At 41.2% G+C, this 21,880-nt stretch overlaps 2 long non-coding RNA genes across 6 annotated transcripts in view, besides 1 other annotated feature; one reads left to right on the top strand and one right to left on the bottom strand.

Annotated features, from left to right (window-relative positions):
- ADAMTS9-AS2 (ADAMTS9 antisense RNA 2) overlaps nt 1-21,880 on the bottom strand; it is a 326,599-nt gene that overhangs the window by 56,670 nt on the left and 248,049 nt on the right. The window lies entirely within an intron of this gene.
- LOC105377124 (uncharacterized) overlaps nt 1-21,880 on the top strand; it is a 99,923-nt gene that overhangs the window by 21,450 nt on the left and 56,593 nt on the right. For 3 of the 5 annotated variants that reach the window (XR_007095948.1, XR_007095946.1, XR_001740437.2), the window contains exon 2: nt 12,180-12,295. This is a non-coding gene — a long non-coding RNA (uncharacterized LOC105377124). Of the gene's footprint in view, nt 1-12,179; nt 12,296-12,393; nt 13,008-21,880 lie in introns of those variants that run through there. The other 2 variants (XR_007095949.1, XR_007095947.1) reach the window with 2 other exon arrangements.
- Nucleotides 9,140-10,012: an enhancer, noted in NCBI's record as "OCT4-NANOG-H3K27ac hESC enhancer chr3:64930462-64931334 (GRCh37/hg19 assembly coordinates)". NCBI's record gives its function as "activates a minimal SCP1, AML or CMV promoter by ChIP-STARR-seq in naive and primed H9 embryonic stem cells {active_cell/tissue: H9 hESC(naive and primed)}" and the evidence as "EXISTENCE:reporter gene assay evidence [ECO:0000049][PMID:30033119]".

Raw genomic sequence — 21,880 nt, 5'->3', positions numbered from 1 at the left:
GAATTATTAGAATGGAAGAGGTGAGACACAGAGGCATAAATTTGGAAGAGCCCTTTCTGATCAGCTAACAAATTTCTCTCCCATTTTTTGGATGGTAAAACTGAAGCCCAGAGAAGGCATGTGACTTGACAAAGATGAGTTTCCAAAATACAAATTGGATTTCAGGGCTTTATGTTTTTATTTTTATTTTCCTAAGCTTGTGATGCAAGTAGGATATACCTACAAAAAAGTTACATGTAGCAACTGTAAAACTCAACACAATTCATAAACACATCCAGGCAACCAGCATCCAGATCAAGAAGCAGAACAATCCTGAGCCTGACAAAGCCTTTATAATGCACCTAAGCTACTGCTTCCTCCTAAGGGTAACAACTATTCCACCTTCTAGTATCATGTGTTATTTTTGCCTTTTAATGAACTTTCAATAAATGGAATTAGAGTGTGTTACTCTTGAGTCAGGCTTCCTTCATTCACCACTGTCAATGAGATTCATCCATTATTACATTTCATTTTAATGCATTGCTTTTCATTGCTGTATGTCATTCTTTTGTGTGAATATAGCAGACTATTCATCTTTTCAACCACTGATGGACATTTAGGTAGTTTTCAGTTTAGGCCACTTAATGGCGCCACTAAGATTATTCCTGTACATATCTGTTGTGAAAATATGTATAATTGGATTGGGTTTTACTCCTACTTTGTGTCTAATGATGCTCCCCAAAAATGTTAATAGAAGCAACTGTCAAAATTGTGTGCAGGTGTTTGAGGTGTATGAGACTGTTCCTGCATGCATTTCTGTCTGTGCCAACCATCCAAAGGGGACCATTTGAGGAATTACAGTAGCCTCATGACAGCCACCAATATAACATTTGTGGTTGGGAATATTTGCAAGTACTCTTAAAATCCAAAATAATCAGTTGACATTTTGTTTATCTCAAATTGTGAGTGATTTCATTATTAGCTTTTATTTTTATTTATTTTTAATTACAACTAATATATAAATTCATTCTTGTTCCATACACATGCTTAACAATAATACTAACACTATAATATTGGCGTCATGATCCCAAGGATTTTGGTCTGTTCATCACAGGGGTAGCATCAGTGCCTGACAGAGAAGGTGCTAAATAATATTTTTTGAATGATGGGTGGTTCTCTTGGCTATTGCTCCCCATCCCTAGAACTTCCCCAGAAGTAGTCTCATCTTTGAGTCTTTTGTGTACCTCCACACTGTTTTTTCTATACAATCGTGTGTGTGTGTGTGTGTGTGTGTGTGTGTAATTGGATGATGCCATGCTGTATGGGTTTTCTAAATTAACAGTATGTCTTATGCATTTTATTTGTTGTCAGTCATAGAAATTTACCTTTTCGTGAGCTGTGTAATATTCCATGGTATGGACATATTACATTTCTGCGATTTCCAATTTTGGGCACCATAAATTATGCTGCAGTGAACACTCTTGTGAATATAAGTGTTTCCTGGTGGTAGACAGCAAGAACTAGAATTGCTGGCTCACAGGTGGTATACATTTTTAATTCTTTCAAATCACCTTCCAGAATAGGCATTCCAATTCATCCTTTCATTGGCAATCTATGGAAGTACCTGTTTCTCCTCACCTTCACTATGATCGATATTATCAAAACTCAGAAGTTTTTGCCGAAATGATATGTAAAAAACATCATTTAATTTTAATTCCCTTCCATACTACTGATGTTGGGCATCTTTTTGTATATTAGTGAATGAAGTGTAAGTTTGACTTAAGCTTGCTGCAAAGATCAAATGCATAGGAGTAAGTAAAGCCTGCCATTCCCCCATCAGGGTATCTCTTTATGGCCATGTTCTTTATCCTGATTGTCACGGCTGTTAAGAATCTTAGATAATCCCTAGATTTTTCTCCACCCAAATGGTATGAGTATACAAAAGTGATTTAAACATTTCTTCAAAATCCCAGGGGACAGACAGGAGGGCATCTTGACCTATCCAATTTATTGGTACAAAGCAAAACATTTGGAGAATGAATTTTCCAGTTAATTATTCTAGTGCTTTCTCTTTGTACCAGGAACTAGAAGAAGAAAAAATGTTGTACTATGAGGTTTAACTATCTGCCACCATAAGGAGTCTCAAACTGCAACAAAACCTGCAATGAGCATTTTGATTATATTCCTGAATGTTGGATTCATTACCTAACCAACATTAAGGGCAGATGTTCCAGAGGCTAACTGCCCAGCCTTTAATCCCGGTCTTTGCTGGTTTGCAAGCTTGGGCATATTGAATGAAGTTTGGGAACTTCTGTTTCTCTCTTTCATTTTCTATCAAATAGAGCAAATAATAAAACCCACTTGATGAAATCATTGAGAAGACTAATTGGTCAATATAAACGAAAGGTGCTTAGCACAAAGCCTGGTATATATTCAATATTCAATACACGTTGTTATTGGTAAGGTTCATTTTGATTGGATCTTTGATCAAGGTTTGAATTGGAACTCAGAAAATGTTCAGTTCTTTTCTGCTCTTATACTAGGGAAGAAGATCACTCTAGTGTGCCCTCCACAGTTCATCTATCAGTTTATCCTTACTTGGGATAGAAGAGGCCACTTTGGCCTTTCTTGTTAATCTTATACACAGCTCCTTGCAGGTTTTTAGTTTAGGACATGCAAATGAGTATATAATAAATGAACCTGCTAGGCTGCTAAATCTCATATGAATTTTTACCCAGAGCATAAATTGATACAAGTTTCTCAGGCCTTGACTTCATAAGCCCTTGGCTGACATTTTTGATGGCAATCTAACACCTTGCCAGAAAGTGTCTTCAGTTTAAATAAAATGAGAAAAGATGGGCTTAATTCCAATAACAGACCCAGCAAGGCCAGAAGTTGATTCCAATTTTTATTGTCTCATAAGAACCTCACATTCTGGGCCCTGACTCAGAACCTCTCCATATCTGCCTTGCATTCAGGATAGAATAACCAGAGGCTCACAGGAAGGGAATCCTGAGAGAATGAAGTCAGGCCCCAGCTGCCCTTCTTCTCAGCTTCCCCAAAGTTCCTGTTCCTTGAGTTTCCAACCACTATTGGTTTTGGTGATGGGGCTGAGTTGATACCCAAGGGTCTGCACGGTACCATTTGAGAAACACTGAGAAAATGCTCTCATCCCATCTCATCACCACTCATTCCAGAACAGGCTGTTCATGTGGAACTCCTTCCCTGTGAAAATCCTAAAGAGGTTAAGATGCATCTTCAATGAGAATATTGGACAATGTGAGTGTTTCTGAGAAGAGAGACATGAGAAATTATTGTTATTCCATCAATACTTCATGTATTCATTCATGCAGTTATTCCCCCTCTCTTTGTGAGGGCTTAGGCAATGACTGACACAATGCTATAGACCAAGGGGACCAGCAGTTAACAGGGCACACATAGTTCTTTCCCTATATTGCTCCATCTAATGGAGAGACAGACACTGGACAAGCAAATACATCAAAGTGTGATGAATGTAAAGGAGGGACCAGGAAGGGCCCCAAAGGTCTGGGGGTTTGGCCTTGACTCTAAGCAACCTGGATCATCTCTCCCGGTGTGTGAGTCTACACCGTCATGGATGCTATCATACATGCTGCCCCTAGTGAGGATTTTATCTGCTGTAGGGCACTGGAGCATGCAGCCAACTCTGGACTCCAGAGCAATTTATTAAGGTCTCATTACAAGGTCACTCTTGGGGTCCCTGTCACAGGATCACATTGTAGGTAAAATAATCACATAATAAGGCTTTTCTGCACATTCACCTTGGAGTAAACTTAAATCCAAGGTGAGACAGAGAAAAAAGAAGTTGAGAGAGAGGAAAGAGAACAATAGAGACATAGGAACAGGAGAGAGACAGAGGTAGGGTAGGGTGTGATCATCCTATACCTATAAATGAATCTGGTATCAAGCATCCTTTCCTTGTCAGGGAAAAAACATGGGAGTTTGACTCTGGACACTTGGACATGAATCATGCTCTCATCCTTCTCTGGCTTTGACCTTGGACAAGTTACTGAGCTTCTGTGGTCTCTGTCTCCTCATTTGCAAAATAGAGGTTTAAATCACCACATCCCATTAACTAGGTTGTTTTGATGCTTGAATGAGATTAAATAAATTAATGGCCGTGAACAGTGCTTTCAAAACATGAAAATGTTTTAACAAATACAAGCTGTCCTCATGCTATATAAGTATTTAATATATGTATGTACAGTGGGTGCAAGGAACAGAATCTATGCATTTGGGCTTGGCTTGGGGTCATAGGGTGGACCGAGACTGTGAAACTCTGGGCTGCCCAGAGAGGATTCTACCATCCTTCTTCCCAGCTGCTGCGGCTTCATTATTTCCAAAGTATATTTCTGTGGTGCTCCTAACTTTCAAAGTACTCATGTCATTTCACATTCATGCCTAAATGTCTTGGTATGATTTTTATTGAATGACCAAATTCACTCAAGCAACCCACCTCTTTTCCTTGTAGACTTCTAAGTGGATGTCATTTACTTACAATATTTATATTGTATTATATTTTCATGAGTTTACCACTCATGAAGCTGGAGGGAGACATAACACAAGTGTAGGCTGAGTAGAACTGCATTCAGCAAGTCCCCTTAGATGATGAGCTCCTAATGTCCACAAGAAGGAGGAATTGCAGAATGAGGAAAGGAGGTCAGACTTGGGGAAGAACACTGATGAGAGCCACATTTGCCAAGTCAAGAATGAGACTCCAACAAGTTTATGAACAGTTCCTTCAAAAGTGTGCTAGAAAGATGCTTAGCCTCTAGCACCTGGGGTTCCACCATTCCTTGGTGAAAGAGCAACGCTCTTAGGGAGCTGAGGGCAATGAACTTCCAGAAACCTTGCATTTTTCTGACATTTGGAATGGTATAGCTCTTAGGAACTGCATCTTCACATCTGTCTGCTATCACCACTAAAGAAAGAAATGTCAAAGCCATGTAAAAGAAAATTTAGGATGTGTAAGACAGAATGCATCACAGGGAAAACTGAGCAGGTCAACCAGGCCGCCTACAGGTGTGAGCACCGAGACTCAGCATCCTTGTCTCAGGGAGTGATGCAGGGTGACTTCTTCAAGTCAGGGCTGGCTGGCTTTGTGCAAGGGTGAAAGGAACATAATCTATACCTTTGGGGTTGGCTTGGGGGCTGTGCATCTCCACTCAGCAGCCCTCAGCCTCCCCATACTCTTTGTCAGTCCAAGAAAGAATGGAAGCTTTGTGGTCATCAAAAGGGCAGGGGCTAAGGAGCTGGAGGAATGGAGTTTAAATCCTGGTCCCATCACTTACTAACTGATATTGAACAATCTCAGTTTTTTAAAAAATTATTTTTATAGACACACAGTCTCCCTCTGTCACCCAGTCTTGGGTGCAGTGGCACAGTCATAGCTCACCACAACCTCAAACTGCTAGGCTCAAGCAATTGCCCTGCCTTGGCCTCCAGGATAGCTGGGACTATAGGTGCGTGCCAGCATGTTTGGCCAATATTTTAATTTTTTGTAGAGATGGGGTCTTGCTATGTTACCCAGGCTGGTCTCAAACTCCTGGCTTCAAATTATACCCCTGCCTTAGCCTCCCAAAGTGCCTGGATTACAGGCATGAGCCACTGTGCCCAACTTGGACAATCTTTTTTATTCTTGCTGAGTCTCAATTTCCTTATCTGAAAAATGAAGATTACTTTATTCTTATAGGGTTCAATTAGAAATTATGGATAAAGTGCTTAGCACAGCCCCTGAGACATAGTAGGTGCTTAATCAATAGTAGTTTTATTCACTCACTCATCCATCCAATCATTTTAAGGAGGCAGCCCGAACGTGGCATGGCATAGCATAGCATAAAGACCTCTTACAAGTCTTCCCTTCTTTCTGCAAATGTGACTTTATCATCAAGGCCTGTTCAGACCACTTTGTTTGAATTGGAAACTTGCATCACAGATGCCATGTCCACAGTCTCCCACCCACTCCCCATCCTTTTTGCACTGCCCTTTTTTTTTCCCTATAGCACTATCTCTCTCTCTTTTTTTTTTTTCTTTTTTTTTTTGAGACAGAGTTTTGCTCTTGTTGCCCAGGCTGGAGTGCAATGGTGCCATCTCGGCTCACTGCAACCTCCACCTCTTGGGTTCAAGCAATTATCCTGCCTCAGCCTCCCAAGTAGCTGGGATTACAAGCATGTGCCACTACGCCTGGCTAATTTTGTATTTTTAGTAGAGACGGGGTTTCTCCATGTTGGTCAGGCTGGTCTCGAACTCCCAACCTCAGGTGATCCGCCCGCCTCGGCCTCCCAAAGTGCTGGGATTACAGGCGTGAGCCACTGTGCCTGACCTAGCACTATCACTTTCTAACAGATCACAGAACTTAGATTTGGCCTGTCTCCTGACAGAATCTAAGTCCCACAAGAACATGCGTCTTTGTAATATATTCCTTGCAATAAGGAAAAAAAACCAAAAAACAAAACATGGTACATACAAGGTGCCCAATAAATACCACTTGAATGTGCTAAGGAAGGCTCTGAAATCTTTGATTAAACCTGGTTCCAATGCGGTCTTGCCTCATACAGATGTTTGTAACATTTGGCATATTACTCTTCACCTCACTTTTCTCCCCTGATGATACTGATCACCATGATTTCAATCCCTTGGAGCCCAGAGAACTAAATGAGATAATGTCTGTAAAGCACTAGAAATAGCATCTGGGGCCTAATAACTGCTAACTAAATGAAAGCTATTAAAATGAAAACTTTCATATTTCTTGATTTTCATGCTAGTGTAGACACACAAGCACTCATCCAGTCATTCCCAGAAACATTCACCCCTAGTCTTATTCTGAACTCCCTTCCCCAATGTGTGTTAAGCAGCCAATAATGTGAATTCCACCTCCCTTCTGCGCCCCTCCAGTCACCCATTTCCTGAGAATCACAGACAGCATGATGGCCAATGAGGAAATCCAGAGATTATCACAGATATTTGGCCCCATCATGATTGACTAGTGCTGGGATCCAGACAGTGTTACTGCTCAGAAGTTTATCATCAGCAAATCATAGGACTCCTATGGCTCTATCTTGCAGTGGAAGCCAACACCATGGTGACTGCCTTCAAGGAGTTTATCAACCAAAATTTTCTCAAGAGTAGAACAAGGCCAACAACCATCTTAGTCTGCAAATGTATGTGTGTGTGTGTGTGTGCATGGACTACATCAGTGGAGACTGAGGGTGTGCAAGAGCCAGACAGGTCTCAAGTTCATTCTAGCTGACAGAGACAGAGAGAGCCTGCAATTTCTTCCTAGATCCTGCCCCCTAATATAAAAACTTTAAGGCAGAAAAACACAATGAATTACAAACAAGTGCTGTAGACTAAGTTCAAATTTCAGCTCTGTTGTGTGTCTTTGGGTAAAACACCCGGCCTCTCTGAAGATTAATTAATAAATTAGAGACAGGGTCTCACTGTGTTACCCAGGCTAGAGTGCACTGGCATGATCATAGTTCACTGCATCCTCAAACTCCTGGGCTTAAGCGATCCTCCCACCTCAGCCTCCTGAGTAGTTGGGGCTACAGGCATGCACCACCAAAGCCTGGCTAGTTTTATTATTTTTTATTTTCTAGAGATGGAGTCTTTCTCTGTTGGCAAGGCTGGTATTGAACTTCTGGCCTCAAGTGATCCTCCCACCTTAGCCTCCAGAGTGGCTGGGATTACAGGCATCAGCCACAGCACCTGGCCTGAAAATAATTATAACAGGCAACATGTGTTGCATACTTACTACATGCCAGGTGCTTTACATATATTGGTCATTTGTTCAGCCATTTGTTCAACCAATATTTATGGAGTGCCGGCTTCACACCAGGTGCTGTGGATACTGCAATGAACAGGACAGCCCAACTTCCTATCTTATTGAGCTTTAGTAGTGGAGACAGAAAGCAAGTAATCCGTTGCACAACTCTTTAATCATAATTAGATATGTATTCATTAAAGAACCTGTATTAAGCCTCATACTACTTAATCAATGAATTGTGATCACTGTCACAAAGCAGGAGTATATGAGGTGTTCTCTGAAAATGTATCCTGGGAGGGTGGGTGGCTCGACTGGTCTGAAAGCTCAGTCAAGCCTTTTTAGAAGAAATAACATTTTAATTATAAAATTGAAGGGTGAAGAGGGTTAGCTGTGTAGTCCCATTTTGCAGATAAAGAAACTGAAGGTTAGAGAAGTCATATTACTTGTTCATAAAACCACAGTTAGCATTTGATGGATTTCAAATTTGGAGGCTGGTTTTTCTAATTCAAATCTGTGGTTCTTTCTATCAGGTTAGTATGTGTCAAATTTAACACCAACGATTTCTGCAAAATCTGCATGCTAGGGTTCCTTCAAGAGATTCTGATTCAGGTCGAGGGTAGTGGCTCTTGCCTATAATCCCAGTACTTTGAGAGGCTGAAGGGGGAGGATCACTTGAGGCTAGGGGTTTGAGACCAGCCTGGGCAACATAGCAAGACCCTATCTCTACAATTTTTTTTTTTTTTTAAATAGCAGGCCTTGGTGGCACACACCTGTAATCCCAGCTACTCAGGAAGAGGGGACAGGAAGATTACTTGAGCTCAGGAGTTGGAGGCTGCAGTGAGCTATGGGCATGCCACTGCACTCCAGCCTGGGCAACACAGTGAGATCTTGTCTGTATTTAAAAAGAGAGATTCTGACTCAGTAGGTCCAGGGAAATAAGGAAAGTGAAGGCATATTTAAAAGAGCTTCCCAAGTGATTGGGATGCAAAACTCTAATAATACCACTGTCTAGGTCTTTCTGCGTCTCTACCCCAGGACTTAGTGGCAGCATAATATTTTGCAAGAAAACACCACTGGGAATGAAGGCTCCACCCTATCACTAACGGTCTGTGTGATCTAAAGGAAGTTTCACATTCTCTGGTCCTCAGTCTCTCCACAAGAATATGAGTCCGTCAGTACTTCCCAGTCCTTACTGTACGTTAGAATCAACTGGAAAGCTTAAAAAAAAAAATTCCTGTGCCCCACTTCCAAATAACTGCAAATAACTGCTCCAGAATCTCTGGGGAAAGGACCCAGGCAGAGATATTTACTAGAAGTTTCCATTTGATTTAGCACTAGATGATCTCAGAGGTCCCCTCTGACTTGGAAATCCTCTGCGTCTACAAAATCCTTCATCCCCTCCTGCCTGGAGAATCGAGAATGAGGGAGACATGACGGAAGCTCAGCTTAGGGGGTGGGGAATGGGGGAGCAATGCATTGCCAAGACCTGCTGCTCCACGCTGGCAGTGTCTTTGTGAAAGTAGTAACCTTTTTTTTCTGACTGATTTATGTGACAGTTGGAAAGCAGTCCCCAGAACAGCCTGTTCCTCCCCTCAGTGCTATTAACATAAATATGTGCATGGGGCCTTCAGCTCCTGCTTCTCTCTGTGTACAGGAGGCTTAAGGGGCCTTGAAAGCCGGAGGCCAAAGAGAAATCAGAGGAGAGGAAGTGTTGTTAGAGGCACAAGAATGAAAAGGGGAAAAGGACAGGACGTTGCTAAGAGACAATGTCAAGCTGGGCCATGGGATTAACAGCCAGTATCAAAGCAAGTACTTAATGGTATGTTCTTCTAGTAGGGCCTTTTCCAAGCACGAGCGAAGGGTGAGATTATCAAAGTAATTCCATTCCAAATTGGGCGTAAAAGGCCCCTTTCCTTCTTGGGTAGGACCAAAATGTTAAGCGAAAATAAAGAGATTTGTTTAAAAAATTATATCTTCCAGCTTGGGGTAAACTGGATTCTTCACTGTGGAATTTCTCTGGGTCTTTAATATGCTAATAAGCATTGAGAGTCACTGAGAGTAAGTCGGAATTTGCACACATGCTGAAATAATTTGCAACCTTTTTATTTAGAGGGCTCAAGTGTTTTCCAAGACATATTTGGGAAGCCCAGGTATAAAAAACAACTAATATAATATTTAATATTACTGTGCTAATTGTCTGACATGAATTATTTCATTTAATCTAAATGACGATCCTATGAGTGAGGTTCTTTTGTTTCCTTCTTTGCACAGATGGAGAAATTAAGGCATTGAAAAGTCACTTGCCCCAGATGACACAGCTAGTGGACAGTCGAGGAAATGTGGGCTCTGGAGTTGAATCACGATCTAGATTCAAATCTTGGTCCTGCCATTTGCTGGAGGGACATGTTTAGGCAAGTTAACTAACCGCTCTGAGCCTCGGTTTCCTAACTGCAAAGTGGAGAGAATAAAATGTACCTTGGAGAGTTGCTGCAATTAGCAATAATGTATATAAAGCATATAGTAAATATCCCATAAATAGTTATAGATATCATCATTGTCATCTTTTCTTTAATGTTCAAAAAGGGAGTTTATAGTGGTATCCAGAAAAGAACATACGTTTTGATTAAATAATGAAAAAAAATCAGCAGTAGAATTAGACATGTATCACTCTTGCTGTTTTGGGTGCCAAACCTGCTTCTTCTCAATCACCAGCTGGCATTGAAGCATTCTCCTTTGGGTCATATAAATGGGGATGTGGCAGGCTTGGGGGCCTCATGGGGTGGAGTTGTGATTGGGACCAGGGGTTTGCGGAGGAATTGTTGGCTTCTATCTGGCTGACCATCAGAGTCCTTGAGGAGCTTGTTAAAACATATTCCTAAGCCCTGGCCATTGTGCTTCTGAGTCCACGGGTCTGTGACGGCTCCTGGGAATATGTAGCTTGTGAGAACTTCCAGCTGATTCTGAATATTGGCCTGCTTTTAAAACCACTGGACCTGATGAAGACTTGGAAAACCTTCCTGCTCAGTTACCCTGTGAGGACTCAGAGGAGCCTGCTATGGTTATTTTCAGAGTCCAGAGAGTCTGCGGCCTTTCTTTGAGCAAGAATCCAATATCATGGCAATTGAGAAACACATTTTGTCTATGCTTTGTGGTTAGTACAGTGGCCTGGGTAGGTGAAATAAAGGACCGTGTGAGAAGTGGTTCGTTAATGATAATAGCATAGTCTTGGGCACCAAACAGGCCTGGGTTCAAATCCCAGCTCTGGGTAAGGGAGGGAGATATGCTACTGTTCAGTTAGGACAGTGGCAATAGCATAAGGAGCATAGCGGGTGCGTGCCCACCCTGGAAAGCCATGATGTTATGAATTGTTACTGTCTGTGCTGTCACCTTCATGATACAAATGAGAAGCCCAGCAGTATCTTGAATTACATTTTAGTAACTGTTTTCAAGACAACAGGAAATAAAAACATTTCTGTATTCTTATAGATGGACATATTTTCTTTTCTTGAATAAAATGCAAGTGAGTAGTATATTAGTCGTTGGCTTTAAATTAATCTTGATTTCACTATCGACTAGACCAAAAATTCACTAAGATATTTCATTTTTTTTCTTTAAGTCATGATTTCAAGCCTCCTAAATATTTATACCAGCCTTTTCTTCTTGGGGAGAAAGAGAGAGGGCTAACCTTGGCCACTGTTGTCAGCTTATAGTTTTAACATACTCCTTGAAATATTTCATACTTGGAAATTAAATTCTTCTTTAAAATATCACTATAATAAAGTATGTTCTGAGAAAAAAATCAATCTCAGCACTTCCTTTTGCTAGCTGTGCCATCAGAGGCAATATTCTTAAACTCTCTAAACCTTAGTTTCTTCATTTCTAATTCAAGAATAACTCTGTTCCCAATTTTAATAGGTTTCTAGAAGGATTAAGTAAGATAACCCAAATCAAGTACTGGTAAAAGGCCTGGCACATAATAAAGGCTTAATAAACCATTGCAGTCATTATCATTTTGTCCAAATTCAGTTTACTTACAATATGTATGTCTGTGGACAAATCACTGTGCCCTCCTGTGTGTCATTTTCCTCATTTGGGAAATAGGAATAAGGATACCTAACCATAGTGTTGTTGTAAACATTAGATGAGAAATTACTACATGTAAAACACCTAGCACCACGCTTGACGTACCAAAAGTATTTAACAAATGCTAGCTGATGTTGTTTTTAAGACTGACAGGTGTTCTTTGTACTTGGGTCTCGTAAGTCATTCATTCATTTGAAAACACATGTCAGGAACCTCCAATATGAAAGAAAGCACTTGATATAAATTCTTCATGCATTTGGCCACCCTAAAAACACAGTGCCTTAAACGTATGATGTTACCTCTCTGCTTTTAGGAGGGCATCCCAGGAGAAGGCAGAGTCCAGGAGGCGGATGTTGGGAAGCAAATCCTGAACTCATCAAGTCCCATAGCCCCTTTGTCTATGGACCTTCTGCCAGCATCTTCTGTAAGGTACGTTCTTTTACCCATGGTTGAGTACCACTGTGCACCATGCTAGGTACTAAGAACAGATTGATAAACTAATAGGCATGATCTCTGCCCTCATGGAGGTTCTAGGTAAGAGAAAGGACTCCCCTTTTCTTGGAGTGCAGAGGCTGGAAGTTAAGAGGTATATTCGGCAGAGGCCAGACAGGTGAGTGAAAATGACATGTTTAAAGAACTGAAAGAAAGTAACTATGGCTGAAACATGACAGGAGAGAGGGGATGCGGAGAGAAGAGATTGGAGAGGTAAATGTAGGTCCCATATGCAGGGTCTTCAAAGCAAAGGACACTGAGAACCCATTGCAAGGTTTTGAGCAGAAGGTGGCATAATCAGATTTGGGTTTTAGAAAGACTACTCTGGCTGCCTTGTGGGGAAGAAAAAAATGTATGTATGGAATGGGATAGAGGAGGGGTACTTAAGTTTTATTATGTCTGATGGCACAATAATTGATCCATCATCTTGGGTTTAACCCAAGGGTAGTTGGGGAGGTAGGAGAGCAGGAGAATGTAATGTCAAATATGGCCATCACTTACTGGCATTGAGAAATATGAGGCATAGTGCTCAATAGATATTACATGTGTTTCTTGTGGTGGGCCAACAGTCCCCACCTCCTGCTATTCACACTCTTATATACTCCACTCTTTTTGAGGGTGGACTGGATCTAGTGACTTCTTTCTAGTGAACAGAATACATCAAAAATAATGAGATGTCGCTTCCACACTTGCGTTTAAAAAGACGGTGGCTTCCACCTTCTGGCATTCTCTCTGTTGCTGTCACTTACTTGGTCTGATGAAGCTCTCTATGGAGAGGCCCACATAGCAAGGAATTGAGGGCAGCCTCCAGTGATCAGCCAGAGACTACTGAAGGTTTCAGTCCAACAACCTATGAGGAACTGAATCCTGCCAGCAATCAATGACTGAGCCAGGAAATGGATCCAGCCCCAGTTGAGAGGACTATGGCTCTAGCTGGCACCTTCCCTGTAGCCTGGGCAAGACCCTGAAACAGGATTCAGGTAAGCTGTACCTGGCTTCCTGACCCACAGAAACTGAGAGATCGGAAATACGTGTTGTTTTAGGATGCTAAGTTTTAGGGTAATTTGTTACACAGCAACATAGAACTAAGGCACTACTATATGATGTCACAGAAGGCAAGAGAGGTACAGTATTGAGAAGAGAAAGTGACTAGCATTGTCACATGTGACAGGGAGATCAAAGATAACCCAGGATGGTAAGGAACGAGAAAGCATTGAGTCTGGCAAGTAGGCAGGTAGCATGATTTGCAAGGAAGCAGTGAGAGTACGCTAGGTGGGCTGGAGTAGAAAAGGTAGGAGGCAAGTCATCCATGGATTCATGTTTAGATCCTATGTGATGCAACCCAATGTAAAAAACCATTACTGCTGCAGGTGGAAGTATGGTCTTGTCAGGTTGAATAATGTGATCTGTTTTTGCTTTCTATTTCTTGTTCAAATTCTTGCTTCAATCTTATGATCCTGAGCTTCTAAAAACTCTCCTAAAGGCATCTATTAATGAATTTAGCATCCGGCTTTGCAGTGCCGATCCAACTTCTTCATTCTCTTTCTCTGGATTCTGTTCCCCGGGATACACTTCCTGTGCCCCCGAAGTGCGTCTTTTCTACGCATGATCTGGTGTCTTTGGAGCCAACTTGGAAACAATGTGGAAAATCTATCCACGGTGACCTGGGAGTGTGAAGTCTTGACAGAGAATCAAGTTCAAGTTGCTTGAATTTGTTACCTCGGAAAAACTTCATGGACTGTCATATGACACCCCAGGTATCTCCCCTCTCTCTAGCCTTAACTGTTTCCATTCAGCTCAGAGCAGGGGATTTGGAGATACCACTTAATTGATGTGTGGCTTTGAGGAAATGACTACCTTTCTGAGCATCAGTTTCCTCTACTGCAAGATGTTGGTAGGAATATATCTTTCTCTTGGGGTTGTTTTGAGGAGAATGAAAGGAGCTGACATGTATAAGTAGCTGAGCAAGAGCTTAGCACAAACCCTTTTCTGAACCCCTTGCTGCCGTGATACGGCAGCTAACTTCGAGTTTGCTTACCTGCATGGCAAACTCAAAAGCGTTCTAGAGACTGCCAGGCCAGCTGCCTGAAACATGTCATAAACAGCCAGGGGAGGCAATTTGCTTTCAAAGAGAAACAGACAGAAGGAGTCAAAACAAGACCGTGAGCAGTGGGTCCAGCCCCGAGCCAGGGCAAATTTGGCTCTTGGCAGTAGCAACAGCAAAATGTGCACCGCCCAGAGAGTATGCCTCTGCAGGACCTCACAAGTTCAGGACTGTCCTGAAACCTGTATTCTTCACATGCTTGTGGAAAAGATCTGTCAGTGTTACCCATGGTACCTGGACTGACCTATTTTTAAAACTAGAGTTGCTTGGAATTACCTTGCTCTAATTTGCTTTTTTTTGAATGCCATAAAGGCCTACACCTCCTTCTGTCAACAGAGTTTGTTTTCTCTCTTTAATTCTCTCTTAAGGGGTGTGGAACAGATGCAAGGGCTGCCTGAGAAAAGTATGCAGGACACTAAACAGCTGTCGCCAGCACTTCACGGCACAAAAACTTAGAAAATGACTTGATGCTGGCTGCTGGCATATGAGTTGCCATTCAGGAGTCTTCCCTGGGATACTTATTTTTGTGTTTTCTTTCTTAGAGATAGTTATTGAGTTCCTGGAACATAGATCCTGGCCTCGTACCCTGGATTGTGATGTGGCTGGCTCCATTTCATTGTTGAATTTGCGGGTATCTAACTGATTGCCTCTTCAGAGAGGCCCTCCCTGTTAGCCCTATCTAAGCTCTTACCCCAGTCCCCTTCATAGTTACTTGCTATCTCAATAACCTGTTATATTGTTGTCTTAGCACTATCTGACATTTGTTTATACTTACTGCAGTAAGTTATCCATTGCTCCCCGTAGAATATAGCTCAGTGTGGGCAGCAACTTCATCCAGCCCACTCATCTCTATATCCTCACCTACCCTATGGTGAAGGAATGATTATTATTATCTCCACTTTACAGATGAGGAAACTCAGGCTCAAATAAATCAGATAGGTTTCCCAAGTTCATAGAACTAGTGAGTGGTAGAACCAGGATTAAGATCAGGAAATATGGCTGCACTTTCCAATATGGTAGCCACTAGCCACATATGACTATTGAGAACTTGAACTGTAGCTAGTCCAAATTGAGATGTGATATATACTGGATTCAGTACGGAATATATACTGGATTCAGTATGGAATACATACTGGGTTTTGAAGACTCAGGACAAGAAATTTTTTAAAATATCTCATTATTAATTTTTATATTAAATGATGAAATGATTTTTTTTTATATACTGGGTTAAACAGAATGTTAAAATTAATCTCAATTATTTCTTTTTACTTTCTAAAATGTGGTTACTAGAGGTCTTAAAATTACATATGTGGCTCAAGTTGTATTTCCACTGGACAGCATTGGTCTATACCTTTAATCACTTCACAGAGTATGACCTGAAATGTTGGTAGACCTGTAATAGTGTCTCCATTAGTGCTAATGGTGACAGTAAAATTCAGACAGCCATCCAATTTACAATTCCCTCTTCTGCTTTCTAAAGTTCACCTGTTAAGAAATAAAAGCAGTTGTTCTTTAACCCACATACATTAGGTATCTACTCTAGGCAGACTACTGTGCAAGGTGCTTCTTAATGCAGTTAGAACCTGAATTAATCAGGAAGAGACAGAAACCCAACCTGAACTACCTTAAGCAAAAGAATAAAATGGGATGATTAGTTGAAAGAGTCTTGGGGTAGCTCATGTATTTCAAGGATGAGCTTAATGAACAATGCCAGAGATGGGACTCAAAATCCATTCTCTCCGTCTCTCAGTTCTACCTCTTTCTGAGTGTTGGCTCCATTTCCTGATATCACCTTTTCCCCATGGCCAGAGGCAGGATTGATGGCAGCTTCCAGGCTCACTTCTTCCCATATTCATCATCAGAGTCAAAGGGGTACCTCTGGTGTCAACTTCAGACAGGACTCGCATTGGCCTATGTTGATCCCGTCTGGGTCTCTTGGGCCAATCCTACGTGGGGCATGATGACTGGCCTAGTTGGGCCACATCCTCACCCATGTAAACAGGTGGGTGTGTTAAACTGATAGGCAACTCCCATTAAAACCAAAGGATTGAAGTCAAGGAAACAATATTTCCCAACTCAAAGGGGATTCTTTCTTGATGAAAGGAGATAGGCTGAACATACAGAATGATGGATTCTCAAAGTCTTTCTTGACGTCATTGTCTTCTTTGTGGGAATGAATTTGAGAAATTATACAAATCTTGGTTAAAAGTAAAAATAAAGACATTAGTGCTGAGACTCCTAAGGTATTAGAGAAATTCATTAGAAAAATACAAAGAGCATAGAAGTCCTTTTGTGGATGGCATACAAAAATAAATAAGCATCTCAAGCATGAAGATCCCTGTAAAGGTGCCTGCCTTGGTTGAGAGCGGTAGGTCAAGCCTGTAATCCCAGCACTTTGGAAGGCCAAGGTGGAAGGATTGCTTGAGGCCAGGAGTTAAAGACCAGCCTGGGTAACATAGTGAGACTTCCTCTCTACAAAAAAATAAAAACATTAGCCGGGCATGGTGGCAGGCACCTGTAGTTCCTGCTAATCAGGCTGAGGTGGAAAGGTGGCTTGAACTCAGAAGGTTGAGGCTGAAGTCAGCCATGATCACCCCATTTCACTATGGGAAGAGAAGGGAAGAAAACACACACCAGCCTAAGTGACAGAGCGAGGCCCTGTCTCTAAAAAACGAAGTGCCTGGTTGCCTTTGTCCATTATGACTATGTTCAAGGCGGCAACTACTGAATGCAGGGACCGGAACAATGAATGTACTTGACTTCTTATCATTGTTGGAATATTGCTTCTAAAAATTTATTGAGCATTAACAGTGCAGAACATAGTATTAAAAACAGTTCTGGTCTAGTAGATGAACAATCTCATCTAGGTAATATTTTCTGTTGAACAACGTGCCCCTGAAATGTCCCTTTAGAGGAACTAAAAACTCCCACTCACAGTCAAAATGTCTCCCTTTTTCTCAGAAAAGAGACTTGTTGGTTCTTACAGAAGAAAAAGTTGTTCTTCCTCATTCAGGATTCAAATCTCCAATTTTCAGCCTCATGATATAAAGCTGTCAGCCTTATTGTCAACTAATCACCAACTCCAACGTCCAGGAGCTTATCTTTCCTTTTTCACTTAGTCCTGGGAATGACTTTTGGACACATTTCATTAAAGCTGAGAAAAAGAGAGATTCAGGACTTGAAACATAATTCAGGTTGAATATGCAGACACTAAAGAGATCTTGGAATAATTTATAAGCCAATCCATCCATGCCTGGGGAACCCAATGGGTATCTTGAAATACATTTATATCTACATCTATGTTAGCTTCATAGAGATATTTTTAAAAGCGTGTGCTCATATTCATTATTTACTTTTTTCTTTATTTCTGGAAAGATATAGTATGAGTTTACCCTCTTATTTTTTTTCTGGTTGGCTCCTCAGTTGCACAAAAAGACAAAGATGTGAAACTCAAACTTTTCAACCCAGATGATGAGGTCTTGCCTAAACTGGAGTGGTAGAAAGAGCTGCTCTTTTGCTATGCATGCCTGAAGCATTATGAAAATAACAGTCAGCTTTCTTGGCTGGAAAGCTCTCATTTGGGGGGAAAAGGGCAGGGAGGGGAGTTGTCTTAGGAGGTAACTTGGGGCTGCTGTTCATTGTACCTAATCATCATCTTTGTAGGAGTCTCTGAGCCCATATTTCCACTATCTCACCTTCTCTGTGCTTCCTGGAAGCCAAGGACGGGTGGGCACAAGAGACAGCCTCTATAGAAATAGGGTGAAATGGGTTTCCTTTAGAAGTGTGCTGTGGTCAGAGAAAACTTGGGAGTTTTGTTTGTATCAGTCCTCATTACAGTTTTTCTGATTTGTGGCAAATGGATGCTTTATACAAATCACTAAAAATTAGTTATCTAATGTATGTAACATCTTTGGAATGAAGATCAATAGATATATTTTAAAAAGTGGGGGATGGTGGTTAGGAGATGTGTTTTCCTCCCTGGAAACTTTCATGTTTAATTAAGTCTGTAAATTAAACTTTTTTACCCTCTCCTTTTAAATCCTGGCTAACTGGTACCTAGGCTTTCTGGCACAAGATGCAAATCTACATGTCTAGCTTTGCAGGTAGTGGTGACTCATTGTTATAACCGAATGGGAGGGAAGAAAAAACACACGCAAAAGTTCTCCATCTTACTGCAGAACACAGAATGTCATTTTTGGAACAGTCAGTAATTTCTAGTTAAACACTGCCAGGTTTATCTTAAAGGGACCATTGTATGATCTTGCTTGTGTTCATTTATGATTTTTGTGTCTGAGGTTATTTCAAATCATAATAAAGGAAAGGAATTGACTGTTCATACAAATAGCTGACTATCCCTTGTAATTATTTATTTGCCTGCATAAGATGACATCTGTGATGCTAATGGTCATAAGAGAGGAATACCCACTTCACAATATTCCTTGAACTGTTCACTTTAATTTTGGACGTTGAAAGAAACCAGAGCTGTTAGCAATAAAATTATCTGTTAAACTTTTTCTGTTCTATTTCAGATATTTTTCCTATTCTAGCAGATTTAAGAGAAGATTTCTTCTAAGATGTGCCCTGTAACTATGCCTTAATGTTCTGGGAATCTGGAAAACAAATAATGTACTTGTCTTTATCCAGAACTGAAAGAAGAAATAATTTGGTATCAAATGACTAAGACTTTTCTTCTAATAATAAGCACTGAGCCATGTGGATCTCAGTTGTCAGTAACTCCCAAAGTATAGGGCAGGCAGTTCAGGATTCGGAGTTTCCCATCATATTCCCACCTCATGGTCTTTGCACATGCTGTTCCCTCTTACCTACAACTCCCTCCCCACTCTCATTTCTTCAAATATCTCCTACTCATCACTTCTCAATTTAATATCACTTCCCTTACATTGACTAGTCCTCACGGCATACTATAATTTTTCTTAGGAAAATTTATAATTCATTAATAAGGTAAGTATTTATAGAAGAGAAAGCGCTTCCTTTTCATTCTGGATTCATATCCCCCATTTTCAGCCTCATGATATAAAGCTGTCAACCTTATTGTCATCTTATCACCACCTCCAATGTCCAAGAGCTTATCTTTCCTTTGTCACTTCATTGGGAGTTACTATTGGGACAGTAACTACTCACTGGGACAGTTGAATATTGGGATGGTTACTATTAAGCAGGGATAGCTACAGTGCCAAGTACTGTGCCTCACACATAGTAGGTCCTCTATAAAAATTTTATTGATCGAATTAATCAATTCACTGCTGTTCCATTTAGTTCTGAGGCAAAGGATCCCAAGCTTAGAAATAACCTGTAAGTAGATCCAAGCTAGATCCCAGACACCCCTTAGAGGTCAAATTGTCCATCCTTTGCCTCCAGACAAGGCTGTATCTGGTCTTGTGATTATTCAAAACTTCCAGCCCACAATCCAGGCTTTGATAGGTTCTACCAAGAGTACCATCTCTGCCCAACACTGCTTCCAATGCAAGCTCTGAAAACTGTCAGTATATATTGGTGCCTAAGAGAGCCACCCTTCAAGATGGCCTCCAATAATCTTCACCTCCTCTTAGTTACTCCTTTGTACATTTCCCTCCCGGTGAATTAAGTCTGGTCTATGCTGACTTCTGAAGCTATTACGTGACTTCAGGGCTAGGTAATAAAAGAAGGAATTGCAGCTCCTGCCTCAGTCTCTTAGATAACCAGCTTTGCCAAAATCCAGCCACTATGCTGAAAGACAGACGAGCAACCCTGTGGAAAGTCCCATGTAGAAAGGAACTGAGGCTTCCACCAGCACCATCTTGTAGCCATGTGAGCAAGCCACCTAGGAAGTGGATCCTCCAGCCCCAGAGTTTCCTAAGAACACTAAGCTCATAGTTTCATTGACCCAGGTAGAAATAGAAATACAATGGAGGTGGTTTCAGATGCTTCGTATCTTGTCAATATCCTCTTCAGAAGATAGAAAGGCAAGAAAGTTATTTTTGCTCATCATATGTTGGTTGAGAAATCATATGATGAATATTCATTATAACCAGAATAATGCAATAAATTCCCTATTCTCTCTCTATTCAATTAAAACCAGCTTCTTGGGTTAATTATAGGTTCAAAAGCTTTAATCCATTCAGCAAGCTTGTCTTTATATATTTCACCATTATTTTCTAATGCTCAGAACACTTCAGTCAAAGGTGGCCCTATAAATTCTTCTTCACTTGGCAAGTAGACTCTAAATTTTCTTTCAAGAGAAATTTCTGTTTTCCCAACCTTTAGTCACCTAAAGTATAGGCCAGACACAGCCATGGTCAGAGGAATAAACGTGATCTTTGTGAAAGCCAACACAAAGTACCTTATTCCATTAAAAATGGTGGAAGGGGCTGGGCACAGTGGCTCACGCCTATATTCCCAGCACTTTGGGAGGCCAAGGCAGGCGGATCACGAGGTCAAGAGATCGAGACCATCCTGGTGAACACAGTGAAACCCCGTGTCTACTAAAAATACAAAAAAATTAGCCAGGCATGGTGGCGGGCGCCTGTAATCCCAGCTACTTGGGAGACTGAGGCAGAAGAATGGCATGAACCCAGGAGGCAGAGCTTGCAGTGAGCGGAGATTGCGCCACTGCACTCCAGCCTGGGCGATAGAGCGAGACTCCATCTCAAAAAAAAAAAAAAAAAAATGGTGGAAGGTGGGTCTCATCTACTCCTGGCATGAAAAATATTGGGTGTTGTGTGGATGCCTCATACCCTGTACATTTTGTCCCATTTTGTATCACAAAACACTTCTGCCTCCTTTTTATTTTCATTTTTCATTCTTTCTAGCAAGAAGTCTTATTTTCCTTTCTGTCCTTTAGGCTTGCCTTGGCAGGGAGCACCTGTTTATTTGTCAAGGATGTCCTGGCCAGCCTGTCCTCCTAGAGACCCCACATTATGCCCCATGCTTCAGGGTCAGTAGTCATTTGATTTGTTCCTTTTACAGTTGTATCTTTATTTTCTTATTATAATAATACCTGCTTATTATAAAGATAAATACCACACAGTACAGAAAGATAAAAGGCAGAAAAAAATCACTTCTGTTCCCTATGGTTAATAGTTTGAGTTTAGGCTTCTATGGTGTTAGAAATAAATTTTCGGTGCCGCAAAAGAAATAGCACTCGAACGTAAATTTAATTTCTCAGCAAGGCAATTTTACTTCTATAGAAGGGTGGGTCTCGTGGATTGAGCAATGGTGAGAGCACAACTGAACAAGGGAGGGGAAGGGGTTCTTATCCTAACGCAGCTAATCTCTACTGCTGTGTCTTTCACCTATTGGCTAGGGTTGGACCACACAGTCTAAGCTAATTCTGATTGGCTATTTTAAACAGAGCAGGGGTATGAGCTGGAGTGGCAGGGTGAGTAGTTTCGTGGGAAGGAGTTACAGAACAGGTAACT

The sequence above is a fragment of the Homo sapiens genome, chromosome 3 (genome assembly GCF_000001405.40).
Source record: "Homo sapiens chromosome 3, GRCh38.p14 Primary Assembly".
Lineage (NCBI taxonomy): Eukaryota > Metazoa > Chordata > Mammalia > Primates > Hominidae > Homo > Homo sapiens.
This window is presented reverse-complemented; position numbering and strand designations above follow the sequence as displayed.